Source organism: Homo sapiens, chromosome 4 (genome assembly GCF_000001405.40).
Source record: "Homo sapiens chromosome 4, GRCh38.p14 Primary Assembly".
Taxonomy (NCBI): Eukaryota; Metazoa; Chordata; class Mammalia; order Primates; family Hominidae; genus Homo; species Homo sapiens.
Genome location: NC_000004.12, coordinates 127,902,812 through 127,921,851, shown reverse-complemented (window position 1 = coordinate 127,921,851; position 19,040 = coordinate 127,902,812). Strand labels below are relative to the sequence as shown.

General features: G+C 39.6%; 1 protein-coding gene across 20 annotated transcripts in view, besides 1 other annotated feature; it reads left to right on the top strand.

Moving 5' to 3' along the window:
• MFSD8 (major facilitator superfamily domain containing 8) overlaps window positions 1-4,120 on the top strand; it is a 48,232-nt gene extending 44,112 nt beyond the window's left edge. For 9 of the 20 annotated variants that reach the window (NM_001410765.1, NM_001371590.2, NM_152778.4 and 6 more), the window contains 2 exons: window positions 81-328; window positions 1,016-4,047. In NM_001410765.1, the coding sequence (NP_001397694.1) occupies window positions 81-328; window positions 1,016-1,222 (455 nt within the window). In that variant the 3' untranslated portion in view covers window positions 1,223-4,047. Of the gene's footprint in view, window positions 1-80 lie in introns of all 20 variants that reach the window. The other 11 variants (XM_024453982.2, XM_047449993.1, XM_047449992.1 and 8 more) reach the window with 4 other exon arrangements.
• Window positions 11,085-11,254: an enhancer, noted in NCBI's record as "experimental_73859 CRE fragment used in MPRA reporter constructs". NCBI's record gives its function as "activates a minimal promoter by MPRAs in K562 erythroleukemia cells, with activity observed for the non-introgressed 4:128831838 variant allele {active_cell/tissue: K562}" and the evidence as "EXISTENCE:reporter gene assay evidence [ECO:0000049][PMID:34662402]".

Below are 19,040 nucleotides of genomic sequence, written 5' to 3'. Positions count from 1 at the left end.
ATACATAATTCTATAATGTTAACCTCTGTTATTTATCTAAAATCAACAAGTAATGCACTGCAATGGTTTTGTTTTTACAGATTTGCACAATAATTCAATCCCTAATACCACATTTGGGGAAATTATTATTGGTCTTTGGAAGTCTCCAATGGAAGATGACAATGAAAGACCAACTGGTTGCTCGATTGAACAAGCCTGGTGCCTCTACACCCCGGTGATTCATCTGGCCCAGTTCCTTACATCAGCTGTGCTAATAGGATTAGGCTATCCAGTCTGCAATCTTATGTCCTATACTCTATATTCAAAAATTCTAGGACCAAAACCTCAGGTAAGCCAGGTACCCTGACATTGCAATTATAGAAAATATACTTGTAAGCACTCAACATTTTTTGCTGCCATTCTCTATTTTTACACAGACTGATTTGAGGGATTTTTATCATATTCAGCATTTAAAATTTTTAAAAATCCCACAACTTCTATAAAGTTCATTCTTGGGTAGGTTATGTGGGTTATAGTTTTGGATACAGAAGTTGTAGGAGTGGCATTGTGGTAGAGTGTAAAGTGGCACAGTGGAGTCAGCCAAATATGGCTTCAAACCTCTTGAACAAGTTACTTAAACTTTCTGAGTTTCAGCTTCTACCTTTGTTAAACAGGCATAACACCTGTCATCGAAACTTGTGAACATTACAAATGATGTATTTAAAGCACCTACCTCAGTGACTGGCATGTAGCAGGTACAAAATAAATGTTAGCTTTAAAAGGTATTTTAATCAATTTTATTATTCCCAGGGCTTCAGCAGACAGTAAGTTTTTCCCTTTACACTCCTTTTATTTTTTTTAATCTGACTTAATATTAAATGCTATATTTATAGGAGGCATTTTATGTTTAATTTAAAAGTAAAAGATGCAGAAATGATTCTTGTAAGTTTGCTGTAGTTTGGTAATACCATTTCTTTGCTTTTAAATAACTAAACCCCAATATCAATCTGCTTGTCCTCCATTTCACCCCCAACAGGGTGTATACATGGGCTGGTTAACAGCATCTGGAAGTGGAGCCCGGATTCTTGGGCCTATGTTCATCAGCCAAGTGTATGCTCACTGGGGACCACGATGGGCATTCAGCCTGGTGTGTGGAATAATAGTGCTCACCATCACCCTCCTGGGAGTGGTTTACAAAAGACTCATTGCTCTTTCTGTAAGATATGGGAGGATTCAGGAATAAACTAGCTAAGACTGTGATGGAAACTACTTGCTGTGTGGCACTTCCTGGTCTAAAGCTCTGCTAGACAATTGCGGTGAGCCAGTCTCCAAGAATCAGACTACAGATATTGCAGATTTTGAAGAACAAGAACATATGTTGAATAACAGAGAGAATTCTACATGTCATTGTGAATAGTAGGTTATATAAAAACATACTAGATGATAATTTCCTTACCTCAGAAATGAAATATTATTCTTATAATACCTTTTTGTGGTTGCATGAACTAATGAGTGAATGGACAATGATGAATAAATGTGAAGCTGTATTCTTAATACCCACTGCAGAAGTGTCATTAAAATAATATACAGTGGAACCAGAAAGAGGGTTCTGTAAGAATTAGCCATAGCAGAACAAAATTATAGAATTTTAAATACCTCTACCCAAGTAGAGGTATTTTTATTCAGACACCTACTTTTTATTTATAAAAAAATGCATTTTCTATTATCAAGTTCACTTATGAAATAAAAATTATAACACATATTTTCCATTTAGCGTGCCTAACATCCTACCTTGCCTTCTATGAGTCTTTCTTCTAATACTACACCTCTGCCTTATTTTAGTTCAGGGTTTCACTAAGTAACCCCTACATTAATAAATGAGTATGGATAATGCTAATATTTGAGCAATACAGAGGATTAAGAGATCAAGATACTTCACTGCCTATTAGCCTAATAGGGATACCTACTTTCTTTCAAATGCCAAAAATTCACATTAGAAACATAATCCAGATATGTGTTATTTTATATATATATATACAAAACAGTAAATGGTTTCTTAAAATTATTGCTATTTTTCAACCCCCTTAAACTGGAGAAAAACATTTAATTAGTAAAACATTAATTAATTTACTTTAATTTTTCCCATCTCTCAGTAGTGGCGGGGAGGAACACAACAGTTTTCAATCTATGTCTGCATAGTTGTGTAGAGCTGCAGAATTTTAGTTGGATTTTTAATTTGGATGATCCCTGACAGCCCCAAACTAGTCAGGCTAATAAGTATTTGAGGCAAAATGGCTTTAATCTAACAATTTACTGAGTTTACCTGAAGTTGGCTAAATAACACTGTATGTTTAACTTCTACCTCTACATAAGTTGAATGCTGATAAAAGGAACTAGTAGATAACTATGTATATTGATAAGCACTGTTAAGAAAATGCAAAAATATTTCTAAACACTTTTCCAAATGTTTTCTACTTTAAGTTAGAAATAGTTTCAAATCTGAGAATAAACACTATATAATCTGCACTTTATAGGTTGGGTGCAGTGTCTCATGCCTGTAATCCCAGCACTTTGGAAGGCCAAGGCAGGAGGATTGCTTGAGGCCAGGAATTCAAGACCAGCCTGGGAAACAAAGTGAGACCCTGTCTTTACAAAAAATAAAAACAAAAATTTAAAACTGTATAATCTGCACTTTATGCTAAACTAGCTGTGCTCTTAAACTCAATTTTTTCAGCTCTAATAAAGGGCTTAATTTGATAGAATTATTCTACGATTAAATTTTGAAGACTGTTTTCACTCTCCTCTGCCGCCCATAGCAAGACTGCTTCCATAGATTTCTCAGAACCGTAGCCAGTTCTGGCTATTTGGTCAAGTCTGGGATCCCTCTTACCTGCTATTCTGCAGCTGCTTTCTCTGTCTTACATTTTTTGGGCCACGTCTAATCTTAAAGAGTAAACTCTACCCTTGGTTTGCATAGTGTGCATGACAAAAATAACAAGAATAATGGTAATGATGAAAATGATAAGAGCAAAATTTGTGGAGTGCTTTCCACATTCCAGGTAATGTGTAACATACAATTTAATTCTTACAGCAGTCTTATGGAGTGAAAATACTATTATGATTCCCGTTTTACAGATGAAAGAATGGAGGCACAGAAAAGTTACTTGTCTAAGTAACAGTCTATCCTTAAAGTCCACAGTCTTAACCACTTGATTTTTCATAGTGAGGAAAATATCCCAGAAAGTTGCAGTTTCAATTAATCACTAATTGTAGGGTAATTTAACTATACCAGTGAGTCCTACTAGCAGAAATATTTGGGCAACATAAGCCCACTGACTGGAGCTTTTGTCTTAGCATAATAACCTGTTTCCAGCAAGAATATAACAGAAAAAAGTTTCCCAGCTTTCAAAGGTTTATAATATTGATTAAAATTTAGATAAACTTAACCTTACACAAATGACTCTTACTTTCCTTTTTATTGAGAGCATTTTCTTTGGAGCATTTTCTTCTTTGGAGGATTATACCTTGCTCATCTTGGCACAAAAGAAGGCGAAAGGAAGTAACATGGGATTGGGAAAAGAGCAAGGAGATAAAGTTTGAGGAAAAAAAATCACCATGTTGATGTCTTCTTGAGTAGGCCAAGTTGCGTATAAAGAGAAAATGACAACAGGAGATTTTAAGGTATGATATATTGTTAAGAGTAGTACATATTTAAGAAGAGAAAATATGTTTTTGAAAACAAATTTAAACTTGAAAGGATGATTTTCATATTTTGAAGGGATTTATAACTTCACAAAGCATCTCCATTCTATCTTGTTCAGCTTTACATTTAAAAATAAACTCTTCTTGTTCATATAAACCTTATCTCTTACATAAAGTGAAATCTGTTAATTTTTTGTTTTGACAAGGATAAACTACTTACCTGCATCTGTTTAAGAATAGATTAACTTATTTTGAGAAGAAATTCTGGGCACCATTTTTGACCATTGAAGACTTATTTGTAATTTAATTTCTACTTTACATTGTGAATGTTCATTTTCTAATAAACAAGATTATTTTGCATATGTACCTTAAGCTTTAAAACTTTATTCAGTCGTCTTTCAGTACATATTTAAGGGGGTACCCACTATGTGCCAATTACAATGTCATTTGGGGGATTGTGCGGTAAACAAAACACACAGAGCTCCGACCTTCATGAGGCTTATGTACCAGCAAGAAAGTCAGATATTCACAAGATGATTTCACAGATGATTATGATTGAGGGAGGGGTGATGAGAGAGAAGCATAGGGAGCTATGAGGGTGAATATGATTAACAGGGAACCTGACCTGAACAGGAGAGTCAGGCATGTTTCTCCAGAAGAAATGATTAGCCAAGACCTAGTGGAAGAGAAAATTTGGATTGGTGAAGAGTGGGACAAGTACTTTTCAGGCAGAAGGCAGTGTGTACAAAGCCCTGGAGGTGGGAAGATCTTGGAGCTTTCACAGAACTAAAAATAGGTCCAAGTTGGGTGGAGTATAGTGGTTGAGAAGAAGCCTAATTTTAGCTGAGTCTATAAAGGGACAATGCAAGGCCTTGCAGGCCCCAGGTATTAAGACTTCTTGTGCAACTAAGAGTTTAAGAGTTCTATTTAGGCATGGTTGGAGCTAGAATCCAAATGTCATCAGGACTCTTTTCTTTGGGTTCTACATGTCTCTGCTTGACTTTATTTTCAGATGCTGTCCATATTTGTAGGAAGAGGACCACTGGCAGCCCTAGGCACACAACATCCTTATAGTTCACAATTCTAGAGAAAAATGGCTTGGGTAGTAGTACCAGAAAAAATATGAAGTAGCCAAGTTTAGCTCATGTACACATCCCTGAATTGACCACATGAGGATAGACTCCTCTACTAACCCAGATATAGATCACGCATCCATTCTGGAAATGCAATGTGGGAGGGAGGAGGGGAAGAACCCTGTGGAGCTCGTCCCAATTACATGGTCTAAACAGACATAACTGAATGAAAAGGAGATTCCACCAAAGAAAGGTTTGCTGACAAAAAATATATCCCCACTACCCCTCCCAGCTGTTTCCACATCATTGCACTCATAGGAAATATTATATGCCCCACTGTGGAAATGGATGAAACCATTTGTACCCAGCTTCTTTAGCCAGTGCAGGCCCTGTGAATCACCTCCAAGCTCAGAAGGGATCAGATTACCGTCTACAAGTATAACAAGTATTTATTTGTGATATACCAATGTTAAAAGCATGGTACTGTTCCATATTAGGTATTTTGGACTTTATTTAAGAAAAGTGGCTGGGCATGGGGCTCATGTCGGTAATCCCAGCACTTTGGGAGGCTGAGGCAGGTGGAACACGTGCGGTCAGGAGTTTGAGACCAGCCTGGCCAACATGGTGAAACCCTGACTCTACTAAAAATACAAATATTAGCCCAGCGTGGTGGCAGGCACCTGTAATCCCAGCTACTCTGCAGGCTGAGGCAGAGGGAGGCAGAAGTTGCAGTGAGCCAAGATCACACCACAGCACTCCAGCCTGGGCAACAGAGTGAGACTCCCTCTCAAAAAAATAAAAAAAAGTGAGAAGGTATTTAAGGTAACATTTTCTCTTAAAAGAATACTGGGCATCTTGTAGACATGGCTAGTTTCAGGTCTGGGGCAAGGAGAGCTGGAGACATTTATTGTGCCAGAAAGCAAGGAAGTTATCAAAGACTACTGAAATCTTGCCAAAAGGACAGAGGACTCAAAGTGGCCAGTAGGCCAAAAAATGGGGTAATTAACGCATAAAGAATAGTATCTGTTGTTAATTTAAACAAATGTGTGAAAATCCATGAATTCAAAATGATATTAAAAATAAGAAACTTGTTGGTCACCTTTGGAGGCTTCTAGAGCATTCACTCTTTATTCTGAAAACCAGAAAATAGCTGTGGCTCACACCTGTAATCCCAGCACTTTGGGAGGCTGAGGCGGGAGGATCACCTGAGGTCAAGAGTTCGAGACCAGCCTGGCCAACATGGTGAAATCCTGTCTCTACTAAAAATACAAAAAATTAGCCAGGAGTGATGGCGTGTGCCTGTAGTCCCAGCTGCTCAGGAGGCTGAGGCAGGATAATCGCTTGAACCCAGGAGGCAGAGGTTGCAGTGAGTTGAGATCGTGCCACTGCACTCCAGTCTGGGCAACAGAGTGAGACTCCGTCTCAACAACAACAGCAAAACCCAGAAAATAAAGAATGAAGCATCTATTCTGCCTCTCCTGTACCTAAACATCAGGGTAAACAAATATTGAAGGAAAGTTCTTTTCTGTAGAAGAATCCAGGCCGATAAATACAGAGGGGATAATGGAAAAATCTCTATTTAGCAACCTCTAGTGAAATAATGAGCAACACTCATCAATGGATGCTTAAACTATTAGGTGAAAGATTAATGAGGAACTTTCTAAGGATGGTTGAGGCTGACAACAGTTGGACACTGAGCACTGTTTACATCATTAAAAGTGGGATTAGCATTATGTGCCTCTTGATTTGATAGAGCAGGAAGTACACAGCACCATCTGTGAAAGTGTCCTGCCCAAAATATCGAACCAGAATCTAACCAAGCCTGTACATATAAACTACAAGTTTTTGGATATATAGAGGATAAAAAAACATGTTAAATGTCACCTCCAGGAAGTAATTACGATCCAGAAGGTGATATATATATAAAATATTATATATATTATATAATATAAATATATATAACATAAAAAAATATATATATATTTTGAGACAGAGTCTTGCTCTGTCGCCCAGGCTGGAGTTTAGTGGTGCGATCTCAGCTCACTGCAACCTCCAAGTCCTGGGTTCAAACGATGCTCCTGCGTCAGCCTACTAAGTAACTGGGATTACAGGTGCCCACCACCACGTCCAGCTATTTTTGTTTGTTTGTATCTTTAGTGGAGATGGGGGTTTCACCATGTTGGTCAGGCTGGTCTCGAACTCCTGACCTCAGGTGATCCGCCTGCCTGGGCCTCCCATAGTACTGGAATTACAGATGTGAGCCACTGCGCCAGGCCCAAGGTGATATATTTTATAGGACAAATGATCCAGTTACTTTAAAAATGGGGGCGGGGGAAGGACATGGAAAGGTTGAGAAGACAGGATTCAGATGAAAAGAAACTTGAGACATATAAATCAAATGCATTATATAGACTTTTTGGATGCTATTTCAAACAAACCAAATGTAAAAAAGATATTTCTGAAGCAATTGGAAAAATTTGAAGCTGGGCTAAATATTAGATGATATTAAAGAATTATTAATTTAGAGGTGTGTGAGAATATTGTGCTTTTAAAAAATTCTTATTCGTTAAAGATACATACTGAAATTTTTATATAGAAATTATATGATGTCTTATGGGCATGCCGGCACATGCCTGTAACCCACCTACTCAGGAGGCTGAGGTGAAAGGATCGTTTGAGCTTGGGAGGTTGAGGCTGCAGTGAGCTGAGATTGTGCCATTGCACTCCAGCCTGGGTGACAGAGCAAGACCCTGTCAAAAAAAGAAAACAAAAGAGAGAAAGAGAGAGAGAGATAAAATATGGGGAGGGAGGGAGGGAGGAAGGAAAGAAGAGAGGGAGGGAGGGAGGAAGAAAGGAAGAAAGGAAGGAAGGGAGGGAGGGAGGGAGGGAGGGGTGGGAAGAAATGTATATACACAACCATTAAAATAGAATGAAATCCTGTAATTTGCAGCAACATGGATGGAACTGAGGGTCATCATGTTAGGTGAAATAAGCCAAGCACAGAAAGATAAATATCAGCTAAAAAAAAAAAAAAAAGCGAATCTCATGAAGTTAGAGAGTAGATTGGTGAGCCTGAGCAACACGGCAAGATGCTGTCTCTACAAAAAGTTTTTTTTCTTTTTTAAAAATTAGCCAGGCATTGTGGACACACATCTGTATTCTTAACTACTCTGGAGGCTGAGGTGGGAGAATTGCTTGAGCCCAGGGGTTCAAGGCTGTAGTGAACTGTGATTATGCCACTGCACTCTAGCCTGGGTGACAGAGGCAGACCTTGTCTCTAAAACAAATGAAAAATAAAAATTTTTTAAAAGGTAAGAACCGAATGTCATTTTAAATGAGCTAAAATAAATGATTAGGTAATGGAAACTTGACGAAAGGTGAAAATCGTAATTAGAAAACAGAAATGTGGCCAAGTAGGGGGGCTCACGCCCATAATCCCAGCACTTTGGGAGGCCAAGGTGGGTGGATCACTTGAGGTCAGGAGTTTGAGACCAGCCTGGCCAACACGGCAAAACCCTGTCTCTACTAAAAATACAAAAATTAGCCAGGCCTGGTGGTGTGCGCCTGTAATCCCAGCTACTCTGGAGGCTGAGGCAGGAGAATTGCTTGAACTCGGGAGGCAGAAGTTGCAGTGAGTTGAGATTGTGCCATCACACTCCAGCCTGGGCAGCAAAGCAAGATTGTCTCAAAAAACAAAACAAAACAAAACAAAAAAAAAAAAAAAAAGAAAAGGAAGCAGAAATGAGACAGACAATAGGAAGATATGAAAATATTGCTGGGAGAGCTCAGGAAAGAATAAGAAATTTAAAAAACAATTTTAGGCATGAAGACCAAATTAAAAGGAACACAAAAGTGATTTAATTATCACAAATAACTTCATAAGAAAATAAAAGATGAGGGGAAATCAAAATAACTTAAATAAGGCTGAGTGTGGTGGCTCATGCCTGTAATCCCAGCACTTTGGGAGGCTGAGGTGGGCAGATCACCTGAGATCAGGAGTTCGAGACCAGCCTGATCAACATGGTGAAACCCCGTCTCTACTAAAAATACAAAAAAAATTTAGCTGGGCATGGTGGCGTGCGCCTGTAATCCCAGTTACTCAGGAGGCTGAGGCAGGAGAATCGCTTGAACCCAGGAGTCAGAGGTTGCAGTGAGCCAAGATCACGCCACTGCACTCCAGCCTGGGTGACAAAGTGAGACTCTGTCTCAAAAAAAATAAAAATAAAATAAAAAATTATTGTGAGAAAGCAATACATGTAGAAACTAGGCACAGATGATTTAACGTACATATAAATCTTGGAAAAGAATACCAAAGCAATGAAACAACGAATTCTGAAAAGTATAATTCGGCCGGGCGTGGTGGCTCATGCCTGTTATCCCAGTGCTTTGGGAGGCCGAGGCAGGTGGATCACATAAGATCAGGAGTTTGACACCAGCCTGGTGAACACGTTGAAATCCCATCTCTACTAAAAATACAAAAAATTAACCGGGTATGGTGGCACGCGCCTGTAGTCCCAGCTACTGAGGAGGCTGAGGCAGGAGGATCATATAAGCCCTGGAGGCAGGGGTTGCAGCCAAGATCGCACCACTGCACTCCAGCCTGGGTGACAGAGCAAGACTCCATCTCAAAAAAAGAAAAAACAAACAAAAAAAAACAGATGTTATAAATGTAGTACAGCCTAAGTGTATAGTCACATTTACTCACCACTCACTCACTGACTCACTGAGTACAAATTCTAGTCCTGCAGGCTCCATTCATGGTAAGTGTACACAGATGTATACAGATGTACCATTTTTTTCTTTCATATCACATTTTTTACTGTACCTTTTCTATGTTTAGATATGTTTAGATACACAAATGCTTACCACTGTGTTACAACTGCCCACAGTCTTCAGTACGGTAACATGCTGTACAGGTTTGTAGCCTACAAACAATAGGCTATACCATATAGTCTAGGTATGTAGTAGGCTATACCATCTAGGATTGTGTAAGTACACTCTATGATGTTCACACAACAATGAACTCACTTAATGATGCATTTCTCAGAACATAACCCCATTGCCAAGCAATACATAATACAGTTTCAGGAAGGAAATGGGCAGATATTGAAATAAAATTGATAAGTTTTGATAATTTTTGAAGCTGAGTGATTAGTACAGTGAGATAGATTATACTATCCCATCTACTTCTGTATATATTGGACACTTCCTTAAAAATTAATTTGTAAAACATGCTTTGTAACAAACTTAGGTCATAGAAGAAATATGAACTGAAATCACAGAATTTCTTGAAAAAATAATACTGAAAAGATAACATATCAGAATGGATGCAGCTAAAACAGATTTCAGAGGAAAATGAGTAACATTAAATATCTATATCAATAAAAATGACAGTAGAAAATAAACCAATTATGTACCCAGCACAAAAAGCTAAAGAAAGATATTTATAATACTCAAAAGGTGGAAGTAACTCAAGAGTCCATCAGTGGATGAATGGATAAACAAAACATGGTACAGTATGTAAATACAATGGAATATTATTCAGCCTAAAAAAGGAATTAAATATTGATACATGATACAATATGGATGAACCTTGAAGACATTATGCTAAATGAAATAAGCCAGACAAAAAAGTATAAACATTGTATGATTCTACTTACACAAGGTACCCAGAATATGCAAATTTATAGAGACAGAAAGTAGAACAGAGGTTACCAAGGGCTAGACAGAGGAGCAAATGGGAAGTTGTTATTTAATGGGTACAGAATTTGGGGTGATGAAAAGTTCTGGAAATGGATCGTAGTTATAAGGCAGGATAGGTAGTCAAGGAAGTGACAATGTCCGTGGGGCATGGCAAATGTGGCGACATGATAAGCCTCAGCATTCGCATTGCAGTTAACGCTCATTCAAGCAAAGCAATCTTCAGTAGGAAATTTTCCCTGATTTTGATTTTGCCTGTCCTCAAACTGACCCTTTGCTTGTTATAAGAGTGAAAAACACAACCCTGCATGGAGATTTAAGATGCTAATGAGACATGGAACATATGAACGAGCACGTACAGCTACTGCACATATGCAGCCAGGACGTCACTCAGAACATGCTTACTAGTAACACTTCTTTCCACCTCCTTAGCAATAATCAATGTTGTCTCATCCTTATGAGCAGCATGCCCAGGATCCTCTCTCTTTTAGGGTGTGCTGTCTATTCTGCAGTTAACTTTCGAAATATTCTTTTTCCTTTCCGATAAATTGCCCTATGCTGCATCTCCTTCGCTGTGTGTCTCTTGTTTAAATTCTTTTAAACTAAGAAGACTAGAATCCAACCTGGGCAACATGACGAGACCCCATCTCTACTAAAAATATACAAAGAGCCAGGCATGGTGGCATGTGCTTATAGTCCCAGCTACTTAAGAGGCTGTGGTGGGATGAGATGGTATGATGCCTAGGATTTTCTTCTAAATAATCTAGCTGGGAGAGGATAAAATGAGGTACAAGTGATACAAGATTCGCCACATGCTAACTATTGAAGCTGAGTGATGGTTACATGGGGGCTCATCATGCTAGTCCATTTATATTTGTAGGAATCTTTCCATAATAAAATAGCTTTTAAGTGAAGGACTTAAAAAGCTGATTGGTTGGGCCGGGCGCAGTGGTTCACGCCTGTAATCCCAGCACTTTGGGAGGCCAAGGCGGGCAGATCACGAGGTCAGGAGATCAAGACCATCCTGGCTAACACGGTGAAACCCCGTCTCTACTAAAAATACAAAAAATTAGCTGGGCGTGGTGGCGGGCGCCGGTAGTCCCAGCTACTCAGGAGGCTGAGGCAGGAGAATGGCGTGAAGCCGGGAGGCGGAGCTTGCAGTGAGCCGAGATCGCGCCACTGCACTCCAGCCTGGGGACAGAGTGAGACTCCGTCTCAAAAAACAACAACAACAACAACAACAACAAAAAACTTTCCACATTATACACTTATGAAAGTAAAACAAACCATATGTTTTGGAAGGCAATCTAGAAGAATATCTTTGCAACTTTGTATGTAACTAAAGAAAGAAATAGAAAAAAAAAAAACACTAGCCATAAAGAAAGATTGCATAATTGGATAATATTAAAGTTAAGAACTTCTGTTTATCAAAAGATACTATTAGGAGAGTGAAAGGACAAGCCTATACACAGATAGGTAGAGACAATTTACAGAGTTCTCAGAGAAATGCCTGGTGTGTAGTAATCATTCAATGAATATTGGCTGCTATTATTCCTATTATTGTTGTTGTTGTTACTGGAAAACAAGAACTGGTCCTACGTTTATGAAACAATTATGATGAAATAGTGACCTTCTCTGATACACAGAGCAATATGTTTATGCTCCTAGCAATATGTTTAAGAACTGATAAAGATTTTCATAAGTGTTCGAGGTTTTTATCTATGAAGAATGTGTACTTGGTGCCTTCTGTGCATTTCATCTTGCCTGTTTAGTTTTTATCTGTTCTAAATTTGGTTTAATGTTGCACTGATTGATCCAATCATTTAGAAATGTCATCTTTGTCCCAAACGCTAATTTTCCTGTATCATGCTCACTAGGAAAACAGATAACTGTTTTCACTCCCATGTCATGTTTAGCTCCGTGTCAGTTATCCTCTGGGATACTTTGTGAGCTTCCTTTGAAAGATCTCAGAGATGGATATTGTCCCAAATGGGAATTTTACAAAACAACGTCTTCCATAAGGAATATAAAGGTTGTCAGCCTGGCATTTTCTTTCTCCAGTGAAATCTGCCAAAATCCACTGGCGCCATCCAGCCTGTGGAGAATGTGGTACCTCTCGCCAACTTAATTAAGGAGGATGTCTTCTAGCATTGGTAACATGTTTTCCTTACATACGTGTTAATAAAGTATTTTAGAAATATATATATATTTTAAAAAAGGACAAGCATAGAAAGGGAGAAGATATTTGCAACATATATCAATAAACGAAGGATACATACTGATAACTTTTATTTTTTAATTTTAATTTTTTTTATCTTTTGAGACGGAGTCTCTCTCTCTGTCGCCGAGGCTGGAGTGCAGTGGCGCGATCTCGGCTCACTGCAAGCTCCGCCTCCCGGTTCATGCCATTCTCTTGCCTCAGCCTCCCGAGTAGCGGGAACTACAGGCGCCCGCCACTATGCCTGGCTAATTTTTTGTATTTTTAGTAGAGACAGGGTTTCACCGTGTTAGCCAGGATGGTCTTGATCTCCTGACCTCGTGATCCGCTCGCTTTGGCCTCCCAAAGTGCTGGGATTACAGGTGTGAGTCACCGCGCACAGCCCATACTGAGAACTCTTAAAAACCACTAAGAAAAAGCCAGACAACACAATAGGAAAAAATAGGCAAAAGATATTAACAGGCAAATCACAAGACAAATATCTAATAAACATTTAACATTTCAACCTCTTTAGTAATGAGGAGAATTCAAGTTAAAACCACATTGATACACTGTTCTTGAACACCTGGCCTCAAGCTACCTTTCTGCCTCCCAAAGTGCTACAATTACAGCCAATGTGCCTGGCCTTACACTATTCTATCAAACTGGCAATAATTTTAAGAGACTCTAACACCAAGTTCTGGCGAGGATGTGAAGCAAAATATACTTTTATATGCTGCAAATGGAAGTGTAAAAAAATTAGGCGTTATCTACTAAAGTTTGACATACACAAATCGTAAGATTACTAAATTCATTGCAGTAAAATCCTAGAGAAACTTGTATGTAGCTGCACCAGAAGATGTTCATAAAGTATATATTTACAGCCAAAATCTGGAAACAACTCAAATGTCCATCAACAGTATAACATATAAACAAACTGCTGTACATTCCTACACTGGAAAACTACAAAGGAACCAGTCCAGGTAGAAAAAGGAAAGCAGAGAGATGTCTCCAAAAGAGGGGATAAATGGATCAACAAAAAAGCACAGACAGATTACCTGACATATCAGAGAAAACAAAAGAATTCCAGAAAAAAAATTGTTCAAGAAATATAATTCTAGCATAGTACATAGTTCAGCTGTGAGTATTTTCTTTTTTTCTTTTTCTTTCTTTTTTTTTTTTTGAGATGGAGTTTCGCTTTTGTTGCTCAGGCTGGAATGCTATGGTGCGATCTCGGCTCACCGCAACCTCTGCTTCCTGGAGTTTCTCCTGCCTCAGCCTCCAGAGTAGCTAGGATTACAGGCATGTGCCACCATGCCTGGCTAATTTTGTATTTTTAGTAGAGATGAGGTTTCTTCATGTTGGTCATGCTGATCTCGAACTCCCGACCTCAGGTGATCCGCCTCCCTTGGCCTCCCAAAGTGCTGGGATTACAGGTGTGAGCCACTGCGCCTGGCGGAGCTATGAATATTTTCATAGTCACAGTAATATAAACATTGAATATTAAACTACCACCATACCCCTCCCCCAGAGAAAACGAGTAGAGAGAAAAAAGGGGATTAAAGGAAACTCAGCTTGAAAGAAGTAACAGGAAAAAAAGAAAAGCAAAGCAAAAATATAGTACATGCTAGAAAGCACAAAATTAATTGCTAGACATAAATCCAAATAGAACTGTAATGACAATAAGACAGCCAGAAATAACAATATATGTAAAAATTAGAAGTTATTAAATTGTAATCAAAATAAAATTTAGCTATATGTTATGTATAAGAAAAATACTTAAAAAATAGACTCACTCATAAAGACGAAGAGATAATAAAAAGTATACTAGTTAACATCTGTCAAAGCAGAAATGTATGTTTTGAGTCATTGGCCTTTAAAATTTAGCTCAGGCCAGGTGCGGTGGCTCACGCCTGTAATCCCAGCACTCTCGGAGGCCGAGACAGGTGGATCACTTGAGGTCAGGAGTTCGGGACCAGCCTGGCCAACATGTTGAAACCCCATCTCTACTAAAAATACAAAAATTAGCTGGGCATGGTGGCACATGTCTACAATTCCAGCTATTTGGGAGGCTGAGGCAGATGAATCGCTTGAACCTGAGAGGCAGAGGTTGCAGTGAGCCGAGATCATGCCACTGCACTCCAGCCTGGGTGACAGAAGGCGACTCCGTCTAAAAAAAATAATAAAATAAAATAAAATTTAGCTCGGGATTACTTTATTTCCATTTTTATTTTATTTATTTTTGAGACAGAGTCTTGCTCTGTTGCCCAGGCTGGAGTGCAGTGGCATGATCTTGGCTCACTGCAACCTCTGTCTCCCAGGTTCAAGCAATTCTCCTGCCTCAGCCTCCCGAGTAGCTGGGATTACAGGCGTGTGCCACCATGCCCAGCTAATTTTTGTATTTTTAGTAGAGATGGGGTTTCACCATGTTTGCCAGGCTGGTCTTGAACTCCTGACCTCAAGTGATTCACCCGCCTTGGCCTCCCAAAGTGTTAGGATTACAGGCATGAGCCACTGTGCCTGGCATTTTATTTCAATTTTTAAAGGGAAATTGTTATTACTGATCATATTTTCTCTAAGGGCTTACATCCTTCCTTTCCCCAAAGTTGGATTATCAATGTGGTAATTCTTATAGATACTGCCATATTACTTTCACAGTTATCATTTACACCCTAATCAACACCTGAGAATGTCTTATACATATTGTGAGCATTATTATTTCAATTTTTTTTTTTTTTTTAAAGACAGAGCCTTGCTCTGTCACCCAGGCTGGAGTGCAGTGGCGCTATCTCAGTTCACTGCAACCTCCACCTCCCGGGTTCTAGAGATTCTCGTGCCTCAGTCTCCCAAGTGGCTGGGATTAGAGGCGTGCACCACCTAACCTCGCTAATTTTTGTATTTTTAGTAGAGACACTGCTTCACCATGTTGGCCAGGCTGGTATTGAACTCCTGACCTCAGGGGACCTGCCTGCCTTGGCCTCCCAAAGTGCTGGGATTACAGGCATGAGCCACTGCACTGGGCTATTACTTAATCTTAAACCCATTCTTTGATAAAGGAAAATTATTATCTTGCTTTAACTTTGCATTTCCCCAACTTTTATGAGGTTGAGCATATTTCCTTTTTATTGACCATATGGACTTCCTTCCTTTGTGAACTATCAATTCATATGTCTTGTCCATTTTTCTACTGTGTGACAACAGAAAATTTCCTTCAATCCCCTTTTTTCTGTTACTGGTTTTCTCTGGGAGAGGGGTATGGTGGTAGTTTAATATCAGTTCTGCAATTTATGTTGCAAATATAAGTATTATTTTTCTTCCTTATTGTCTGAGGCAAAAACCTCCAAAACAATGTTGAATAATCATAACATTGTCTACTTGTCTACTTAAAAGAAACAGCTCTAATATTTCTGATTATAAAAACCAGCAGGACACATTAGGTTAAACAGTCTTTATGATATTGAAGTTGTTTCATTCTATTCTTATTCCTTCATTAGGAATGGCTATCCCACTATCACATATTTTTTCATCATGTCAATTAATTGCATCAAGTTCTTCAGTGTTAAAATATTTCATTAAGGAATAAGAACAGCTCTGGTCTACAACTCCCAGCAAGATCGACGCAGAGGATGGGTGATTTCTGCATTTCCAACTGAGGTACCTAGTTCTTCTCATTGGGACTGGTTGGATACTGGGTGCAGCCCACGGAGGGCGAGCCAAAGCAGGATGGGATGTCACCTCACCCAGGAAGCACAAGGGGTTGGGAGATTTCCCTTTCCTAGCAAAGGGAAGCCATGAGTGACTGTACCTGGAGGAGCAGTACACTCCTGCCCAAATACTGCGTTTTTCCCATGGTCTTTGCAAGCAGCAGAACAAGAATCCACTCCCATGCCTGGCTTGGCAGGTCCCACGCCAACGGAGCCTTGCTTGCTCCTAGTGCAGCAGTCTGAGATCGACCTGGGACATGGGAGCATGGCGGGGGGAGGAATGTCCGCCACTGCTGAGGCTTGAGTAGGCGGTTCTATGCTCACAGTGTAAACTAAGTGGCAGGGAAGCTCAAACTGCAGCTCAGCAAGGCCTGCTGCCTCTCTAGATTCCACCTTTGGGGGCAGGGCATATCTGACCAAAGGCAGCAGACAGCTTCTCCAGACTTAAACGTCCCTGCCTGACAGCTCTGAAGAGAGCAGTGGTTCTCCCAGTACAGTGTATGAGCTCTGATAACAGACAGACTGCCTTCTCAAGTTGGTCCCTGACCACTGTGTAGCCTGACTGGGAGACACCTCCCAGTAGGGGCTGACAGACACCTCATACAGGCGGGTGCCCCTCTGGGCAAAGCTTCCAGAGGAAGCATCAGGCAGCAATATTTGCTGTTCTGCAGCCTCTGCTGGTGATACTCAGGCAAACAGGGTCTGGAGTGGACCTCCAGCAAACTCCAACAGACCTGCAGCTGAAGGGCCTGACTGTTAGAAGGAAAACTAACAAACTGAAAGGAATAGCATCAACATCAACGAAAAGGACACCCACACCAAAACCCTATCTGCAGGTCACCATCATCAAAGACCAAAGGTAGATAAAACCACAAAGATGGGGAGAAACCAGGGCAGAAAGGCAGAAAATCCCCAAAACCAGAATGCCTCTTCTCCTCCAAAGGAACACAACTCTTTGCCAGCAAGGGAACGGAACTGGATGGAGAATGAGTTTGATGAGTTGACAGAAGTAGGCTTCAGAAGGTTGGTAATAACAAACTTCTCCGAGCTAAAGGAGCATGTTCTAACCCATTGCAAAGAAGCTAAAAACCTTGAATGGCTTTTTCATTCATAAAACGAATGGCTAACTAGAATAACCAGTGTAGAGAAGAGCTTAAATGACCTGATGGACCTGAAAACCACAGTACGAGAACTTTGTAAAGCATACACAAGCTTCAATAGCCGATTTGATCAAGTGGAAGAAAGGATATCAGTGATTGAAGATCAAATTAATGAAATAAAGCAAGAAGACAAGATTAGAGAAAAAAGAGTGAAAAGAAACAAACAAAGCCTCCAAGAAATATGGGACTCTGTGAAAAGACCAAATCTGTGTTTGACTGGTGTACCTGAAAGTGACGGGGAGAATGGAACCAAGTTAGAAAACACTTTTCAGGATATTATCCAGGAGAACTTCCCCAACCTAGCAAGGCAGGCCAACATTCAAATTCAGGAAACACAGAGAACGCCACAAAGATACTCCTTGAGAAGAGCAACTCCAAGACACATAATCATCACATTCATCAAGGTTGAAATGAAGGAAAAAATGTTAAGGGCAGCCAGAGAGAAAGGTCGGGTTACCCACAAAGGGAAGCCCATCAGACTAACAGCGGATCTCTTGGCAGAAACCCTACAAACCAGAAGAGAGTGGGGGCCAATATTCAACATTCTTAAAAGAATTTTCAATCCAGAATTTTATATCCAGCCAAACTAAGCTTCATAAGTGAAAGAGAAATAAAATCCTTTACAGACAAGCAAATGCTGAGGGATTTTGTCACCACCAGGCCTGCCTTACAAGAGCTACTGAAGGAAGCACTAAACATGGAAAGGAACAACTGGTACCAGCCACTGCAAAAACATGCCAAATTATAAAGACCATCGATGCTATGAAAAAACTGCATCAATTAATGGGCGAAATATGCAGCTAGCATCATAATTACAGGATCAAATTCACACATAACAATATTAACCTTAAATGTAAATGGGCTAAATGCCCCAATGAAAAGACACAGACTGGCAAATTGGATAAACAGTCAAGACCCATCGGTGTGTTGTATTCAGGAGACTCATGTCACGTGCAAAGACACACATAGGCTCAAAATAAAGGGATGGAGGAAGATCTACCAAGCAAATGGAAAGCAAAAAAAAGCAGGGGTTGCAATCTGGTCTCTGATAAAACAGACTTTAAACCAACAAAGATCAAAAGAGACAAAGAAGGCCATTACATAATGGTAAAGGTATCAATAAGAACTAATGATCCTAAATATATATGCACCCAATACAGGAGCACCCAGATTCATAAAGCAAGTTCTTAGAGATGTGCAGAGACTTAGACTCCCACATAATAATGGGAGACTTTAACACCCCATTGTCAATATTAGACAGATCAATGAGACAGAAAATGAATAAGGATATCCAGGACTTGAACTCAGCTCTGGACCAAGCAGACCTAATAGACATCTACAGAACTCTCCATCCCAAATCAACAGAATATACGTTCTTGTCAGCACCACATCGCACTTATTTTAAAATTGACCACATAATTGGAACTAAAACACTCCTCATCAAGTGTAAACAAACAGAAATCACAAGCTGTCTCTCGGACCACAGTGCAATCAAATTAGAATTTAGGATTAAGAATCTCACTCA